Consider the following 8,436-nt stretch of genomic DNA (forward strand, 5'->3'; position numbering starts at 1 on the left):
GATTCCCCCTTTTCTACTTCCCATAGCTCCTTTTTGTTCTCCCTTTACAAAGCTCAGCCACCTTTGTCTTAGTTGGAGTTGAGCTCAGTTTATAGTAGTCTGTCTCTCCTACTGCAGTCATTTAAAGAAAACCTGTCTTTCCACCTTCAACAGGTGTCCAGTGTGTTTCTCTTTGACATCAAAGACCCCTGATGGGTACCCCCATCGAGTATCTTCCATTTCTAGGAACTCACACTGGAAGTTTCCATTTCTTCTCTGAAAGTATCTTGTTTCTATCAATATACACCACCACCTGGCATGTGAACTCCTTCATAAACCGGTCCCTCTGCTGGCCTTCCTGACTCATTCCAACTGCCTGCCTTTGCATCTGGCATGTTGTCTGCCTATGGGACCCCTGTAGATGTGCAGCATCTAGCCTAGCCTTGGAATCAAGGGTGTTAACCTGGGGAAGGAAACAACCAAGCTGAGCATTAACACCTGACAAGGAACTAACTGTGGAGTAGGTCAATGCAAGGAGATGCATGTATCCCAGGCAGAAGCAACAGCTGGAGGAAGATCGGGAGGCAAGAAAACAATGCCTGCAAGCAGGAAAATGTTAAGACATTTTAAGAGAGGCCAGGGAGGAAATGAGACTGCAGGGTTGAGCTAGGCCAGAGCCACAGGAGGTCTTTAAGCAGGGAAAAGTCAAATGAGAGGTTTGGAAAGATCAAAGGGCACTGGGGAGGGAAACATTCATCTTATTTACTTCTCACTACCCAGCACTTAGCAGAGTTCTTTTCCAGTTATTCCTTAGCTTATTAGCAAATGTCTGAACACTAACATTTAACCACGGGCTTAGTCCATGCCTCATACTTTGCTAGGTGCTCCATGAACACCTCATTTTATGTTCAAAACGAGCCTAAGGGAGAGGCATTGTACTTATCTTCATTCCACAGAGGAAAAGCTAATGCATAACTTGGTCCCCTAATCTATACGAGGTTGAAGAGTAAGAAAGTAGTAAAGCTGGGGTCAGACTACCTGGGGTCCAGTTTAAAGCACGCACAGTCTCAAACACTGTTAGGAGCCTAGTGTTCTCCACGCTCCCTGATAAAAGTCACCTGGGGGCTTTGTTAAATTTACAGACCAGGAGGTCTCAGCTGGGTTCCCAGCAGTCTGCCACTTTGTACTAGTCTGTTAGTTATTGCAAGAGAATAACAAGACTTGCAAGAATCCAGGTGATTGTTGTTTACAGGGAAGTTTGGAAAACATCGGGTAATAATATTTGTTGAAGTGAACCACCTGGATGAGAAATGACAGCGCAGAAAAGGATTGAGGAGATGTGTGAGTCCTGGCAGAGGGCAAGAGGAGAGCAGAGGGAAATTCGGCCCTCTCTGAGTGTCGATGCAACCTCCCAGACCCCTCCAGGATCTAAGGCAGGCAAGAGCCATCACGCCCAAGTCATCACCGCAAACATCCAGAACCTCAGAAAGATGCAATAAGACCTGGGTACCTCTCAGCAGCAAGGAACCTTCTGAGATCCTTCTCTGGTGTCACACCCCGTGTAAGCTGAGCCAGTTCTGCTGAGGATGCACTCCTAAGTTCTTCCTGGCGCAATCAAGCTCACCACCCACAGCTATTAGGGGTGTTTCTCACATCTGGCCCGACCTTCTCCTTAAGGCAGCCCCATACTTCCCCCAGTGTATCATCCCTGGACATCAAAAAGGACCCTGAGGTTGCTGGGAATTGGCTTACTTCCAACCCAACCTCCATCCCCCACCCCACGTGTGCTAGCAGCCTATCCTGTAGTAACTACCACCTACATAGCAATCATCTGCATCTCCTCACTGAACACATGGCTCTCTGATGGCAGGAGCTGGATCTTCTAGCTTTCTCTTCCCAGCCACTAGTACATTTCATACTAAGCTTTCAATTGGCATGTGCGGCATGAATTCATGCAATGAATGAACGCAACCTACCCAGGTAGATAAAATTAAGTGTATCAAAGACCTAGAGCAGGAGTTGGCAAACTTGTACTGTGAGCAGCCAAATAGCAAATATTTTAGGCTTTGCCAGCCATATGGTCTCTGTCACAACCATTCAATTCTTCTGTTGTAATATGAAAGCAGCTGTAAATGATACACAGATGAATGGGTGTGTCAGGGTTCCAACAATATTTACAAAACAGGCTGTGGGTTGGATCTGGTCCAAGGGCCATAGTTTGCCAACCCACTGGCTTAACAATTGTCTTGTTAATTTGAACAAATTACCAACTTGTATGTTTTTTTGCAGTGTCCATCAGTTATTTTACTGAATTTATCAGATCTATAAGAATTACTGGATAGAGGATTAAATTATCTCTAAAACAGACACAAGGACCATCCACTTCTACCTCTTAATTCAGCTTATGACACTCCTGCCTAAGAGAAAGTTGTATCGCTCTATGCTTAACCAACATTGAGACTTGCGCCTTTCTCGCAGATTCGGCCTTGGTTCACCGTTGCAGCTCTTAGCTTTCCTCTCGACTCAGAAAAAAAACTTAGCCCAAGGCCTCAGCTCCAAGAACCAAATCCCCTTTTCAACTCTAGCCCAGGCCCAGCCTACTCTCCATCACCATCAAAGGGGAGCTCAGGTGAATGTTGTCAAGAGGGGCAGACAGCAAATCTAAAGCACGGGTAGGGTGCCTGACACTGAAGGCACTCTGTTAATTTTCCCTTCTCTCCTTCTTTCTCCCACTCTCAGCGGGAGGAACTTGCCACCTGCTGAGAAGATGGGCTGACTGGAGAGCAGCGGTGGTTGTTAGGCAAGGGCTCTTGGCATCCCTGGGAGAGTGACAAGAAATGTAACAAGCTCCAGATCGCACCTCCTTGTCCAACTGTTCCCACCAGATTGGCTTCTCACTTTGAAAGATTCCCCAGGCAGGTGGCTCAGGACAAAGAGACACCTCTGCGTTTTACTGCAATCAGCTTCGGTCCTCGTCCTGCATTCTCATCTAACACTTGACACTTCACACATTTTTCCTAGAGCCCTTTGACCTATTCCAGTGTTTCCCAGATCCAGACCAGTGCAGATCTGTGATGTTTCCACCAGTCCAAGGCGAAATGAAGGAAATAAAAGTGGCTGAAGAGCCCTTTCCTGTTGCCTTCTCCATTTAGTATATTCAATTCTAATTCTTGTCCTTCCGAGGACTTGTCAGAACCTTTAATTATATATTTATATTAATAGCCGTCTCCCTAGCAGTCTGTATTCTTCATGAAGAAAAGACCATGTTTGTTTTCCATTCTGAATGTCCAGTGTGAAGTGTGATTTTCACAATATATCCCAGCTGGCATGGAATGCCAGGTCCCGATGATGGGGCATCACCATCGTGGTCAGCACGCTGTACCGGTGGGTTCCAGCTGACTGTCAGCCCTGCCCAAAGCCAGGCATTGTGCTTGCTGTATACTAAGTTGCAGCAAAGTAAAGTATTTATTTATATCAAATATCAGCATCTTGGGGATGAATGTGGAAAGTTTTTCATAAAGCTAAGTTTAGTCAATTTAAATAACTTTAAGACAATGTTCTTTCCACTTTCTGATGTGAAAATACTTTTCCTTTTAAAAATGATGGTAGTAAGTTATTCTTTTAATATCCTATTTAGTAGAATAAAATTATTGGCAAACGATGTTGGTCCTAAAATCATTTTGATTCATTAGAAGTTCATCAAATCAAGGATTCAGGGAGCTTCTGCCTGACAATAGCTTTCATTATCATTATTATTAAGCTACAATTCACGTACCATATATTCAAAGAGTTGCACAACCATCACCATTATTTAAATCTGGAACATTTACATCACCCCAGAAGAAACCTGGTACTATTAGCGGTCAGTCCTGATTTCTACCCCAACCCCTTCTCCTGACAACCACTAGTCTGTTTTCTGTCTCTTTAGATTTGTTTATTCTGGATATTTTATATAAATTGAATTATGTACTACGTGACCTTTGTGTCTGGATTCCTTCAATTAGCAATATAAGTTTAAGGATCATTCATGTTGTATCATGTACCAGTACTTTATTCCTTTTTACGGCTGGAAAATATTCCCTTCGTATGGATATATCACATTTGTTTATCAGTTGGGTTGTTTCAACTTTTTGGCTATTATGAATAATATTCTTGTGAACATTTATGCACAAGTTTTTATTAGAAGACCTGTTCTAAATTCTTTTGAATATATACCTAGAAATAGAATTGTTAAGTTATGTGGTAACTGTATACTTAACGATTTGAAGAACTACCAAACTGTTTTCCAAAGGGTGTGCCCCATTTGACATTCCCACTAGCAGTTAGGGAGTTCTAATTTCCCTACATTCTCAATAGTACTTGTTATTCTGCCTATTTAGCCATCCTAGTGGGTGTGGTGTGCTATCGCTGTGGTTTTGATTTACATTTCCCTAGTGGCTGCTGATGTTAAGCATCTTTTCACATGCTTGTTGACCATCTGTATGTTTTCTTTGAAAAAAAAAAGTCTACTTAAATCATTTGCCCATTTTTAAACTGGGCTATTTGTCTTTGAGTTGTTGAGTTGTAAGAGTACTTTATGTATTCTGGATATTAGTCCCTTACCAAATATGTGATTTGCAAATATCTTATTCCTTCCTCTGGTTTATTTTTTAACCTTCTTGATGGTGTCCTTTGCACAAAAGCTTTTATGAAAACTAATTTACTGATTTTTTTCTTTTTTCACTGTGCTTTTGGTACCATATCTAAAAACCATTGCTAATCTAAGATCACAAAGATTTGCACCTATGTCTTCATCTAAAAGCTTTATAGTTTTAGTCTTACATTTTGATCTGTGATTCATATTCAGTCTATAATCCATTTTGAGTTAATTTTTATATACGATGTGAGGTAGGAATTAAAATTTATTATTTTGTATAAAGATATTTAGTTATCCCTGCATCATTCGTTTTTTGAAAAGGCTATCATTTCCCCTATTGAATTATCTTGGTGTTCTTGTCAAAAATTAATTGACCATAGATATGTAGGCTTATTGACATACTCTCAATTCTATCCCATTGATCTGTGTCTATCCTCATGCTAGGAAGGACCACACAGTATTAACTACTATAGATTCATGGTAAGTTTTAAAGTCAGAAAGTGTAAGTCCTTCAACTTTGTTTCTTTTCAAGATTGTTTTGGCTATTCTGGGAACATTGCATATCTTTGTGAATTTTAGGGTCAGCTCATCAATTTCTGAGATAATGATTTAGGCCATGATCTGTAGCAGTGTGTGAGGTAGCCTGACCAGAAGCCTGAGCTTGTCCCAATGCCAGCTCATCTCTGGGAAAAATACAGGCAGGCTGGGGAAGCCTTAGCGAATGGAACCCCACATGGATAACATGGGGCTCCTAGTCTTGAATTCCACTTTTTACAGAGCTTCTGATCCTTACATTTCCAGGGTTTTTACCTTTCCTGTGTCTTTGACCAAGGGAAAAATACCAGTGATTGTTAAAGAACTTTGCTACCATGGATGCCCAGAGCACACCGTGGTTGCCTATCATGGTTCTCATTGTGCTATTATCATTGGTTAGTCTTTTTCTCTTTTGGGAAACATGGCAGAGATAGAAACAAAGCCCTTTGTGGTGGTCATGACTCTTCTTCCCAAACTATGTTCTTCTCTGGGCTCTGGTAAATAGAAGTCACTCTGAACATATGGTTGCATCCTCCCAAGGTCCCTGGATGCTTGTCTTCCTTCCAGGAGAATGCAAGACAGTTATGGAGAGGCTGGGGGTAGGGATGGGGGGATCACAAATTCACAGAACATCAGCATTCAAAGATATCCTAAAAACTGGCCAGCTTGGTATTATAAATTGGGACAACTTAGACAGCCATTAACAATCTCTAATAAAGCATATGCATAAGCAATTCCTAGACATCCACTTGTTAGTATACTTTCTGGAAAAATGCTCCAATATAGACATAGAAGACACACACACAGAAGTTTATGGCTACAGGTTTTGTGAGAACACACACATGAGAAGCTCCCTAACTGTTCTTCTATAAGGAAATATATCAGTGCCTTGTGGTCTTGTAGTGCAATGGAATAGTACACAGAAGATAAAACAAATGCACTGATATGCAAGTCAAGGCACAGGTATATTGATGATGTACTGTTGAGAGAAAAATAGCAGGTTACAGAAAAACACAAAAGAGGCTGTGCTGCTCACTTAGTTAGCTCAGCCTGCCCTAACAAAATACCATAGACTGGGTGACTTACATGGTAGAGATTTACTTTTTTCATGATTCAGGAAGCTGGAAGTGTGAGTTCAGGGTGCCAACATGGTCAGGTTCTGGTGAGGGCTGCCTTCCAGGCTTGCAGACAGCTGCCTTCTCACTGTGGGCTTACTTGGTCTTTCCTCAGTGTGTGTACACAGAGAGAGAGAGAGATATCAAAGTCTCTGGTGTCTCTTCTTATCAAGGCACTGATCCCATTCATGAGGTTTCCACCCTCATGACCCAATCACCTCACAAAGGCCCCACCTCCTAATGCCATCACGTTGGGAATTTGGGCTTCAACACATGAATTTGGAGGGAAAACATGAAATCCATAACAATTGCCGATTCTTGCCCCCCCACTAGGCAGAATGGAACCATGTGGGACTAAGGCACAGAGAAGGTCATTAGCTTACCTATGGCCCCCAGCCAGCCTTCTCAGCCCAGCCCAGTGCCTTCTCTGCCATGCCATGTTGGTCTTCGCAGCCACATCCATTCCTGTCTGCCTCCATGATTACACTTATAAGAATCTGTGCTATTATCATTACTTTCTTCCATATGCCACCCTCTACTCTCCCCACCCCAATTCTACTTGCCTTGGATTCCACCAGGACTTCTTTTACTCTTCACCTCCTCTCCTATCCTCAGCAAGGAGACTTTCTTTGTCCTTGGATTGCCTTTGAGTCCTTGTGTCTTCTCCCAAGAGCTGTTTGCCCACATGTATTTATTTAGTCCACCAATGTGTGTTGAACACCTACTACATGCCAGATCCTCTGCCAGCTCTGGGCATTCATAAATAAGATGTGGTCTCAGCTCTAACAGTGTTTGAGGTTTAGTGGCAAATAGATGTAAAACCCTTCCTATATGCCAGACATTGCTATAAGTGCTTTCCAGAAGCAAATTCAATTAATACATTATCAGTCTCATTTTATAGATAAAGCAACCAAGGCAAAGAAGTTTAGGTAAGCTCCTCGAGGTCACACAGCTACAAGTGGTACAGCCAAGATTTGAACACATGGAAGGTAGTGCCAGGGTCTAGCCATGAAGAAAATCGTCATGTAAGCAAACAAAGAAAGATCAGTGCGATGAAGACTGTGAGACCCACAGCTCAGCAGACTATGGGAACCCAAAGAGGAAGAATGTTCAGGGAAGACTGCCTGGAGGAAGGGACCTTTGAGCTGAGTCATGAGGATGGTTAGAACTTAGCCAGGTGAATTAGACACGTGTTTTCCAGACAAAAGAAAAACCACATGAAAATGTCACGGGATCCCTGAGGTGTTGCTCTTCCAGCTGGAAGCTTCTGTGGCCAGTGGTGCCTTTGCCCAAGTTTTGCTCAGGCCTGTTGGGCTTGAGCCTGGCAGGCCCTGCTCAGCTTGTGCTACCACCCCAGATTCCACACATGCCAAGGACACAGAGTGGCAAGGGATGCATGAGCAAGCGAATGCAGGGTCCAGCTACTGTGCACAGCCAGGTATACTGGCTGCTGTGGTGTGGCGGGCAGCTCCAGGCACCAACACAGGAGCTGGCTCCATGCAAGGCTGTGGCTGGACCAGGTTTACCAAAAATGGCTTATACTTCAGGCTCCAGGGAATTTGGTGGCACCCAAAAGCTTGAAGACATCAGGAACTGCAGAGCCCCAAAGCAGGTGTCACAGCTCTGGCTTGGGGAGACCCTAGGTCTAGGTTCCCAAAAGGACCACAGCTCTTCTCTCCTTCTTGTTGCCTGCAACGTGGTGAGTAGGGAGGCATGTTTCAGCCCTATTTGTGTTATAGCTCTTTCAGTCCTGCCATTTGGCAGGTCCTAATTTTTTTTTTTTTTTTTTTTTTTTTTTTTTTTTTTTTGAGACGGAGTCTTGCTCTGTCGCCCAGGCTGGAGTGCAGTGGCAGGATCTCGGCTCACTGCAAGCTCCGCCTCCCGGGTTCACGCCATTCTCCTGCCTCAGCCTCCCAAGTAGCTGGGACTACAGGCGCCCGCCACTACGCCCGACTAATTTTTTGTATTTTTAGTAGAGATGGGGTTTCACCGTTTTAGCCGGGATGGTCTCGATCTCCTGACCTCGTGATCCGCCCGCCTCGGCCTCCCAAAGTGCTGGGATTACAGGCGTGAGCCTCCGCGCCCGGCCCAGGTCCTAATTTCTTGTCCCACATCCAGGAAGAATGAGGTACATGGACAATTGGAGGGTGGGCAAGGTGCAGAGATGCTTTA

The 8,436-nt window shown here is 43.7% G+C and overlaps 1 annotated feature.

The window, feature by feature from the left end:
- Positions 239-1,018: an enhancer, noted in NCBI's record as "OCT4-NANOG hESC enhancer chr8:136408400-136409179 (GRCh37/hg19 assembly coordinates)". NCBI's record gives its function as "activates a minimal SCP1, AML or CMV promoter by ChIP-STARR-seq in primed H9 embryonic stem cells {active_cell/tissue: H9 hESC(primed)}" and the evidence as "EXISTENCE:reporter gene assay evidence [ECO:0000049][PMID:30033119]".

The sequence above is a fragment of the Homo sapiens genome, chromosome 8 (assembly GCF_000001405.40).
Source record: "Homo sapiens chromosome 8, GRCh38.p14 Primary Assembly".
In the NCBI taxonomy this organism is placed as follows: domain Eukaryota; kingdom Metazoa; phylum Chordata; class Mammalia; order Primates; family Hominidae; genus Homo; species Homo sapiens.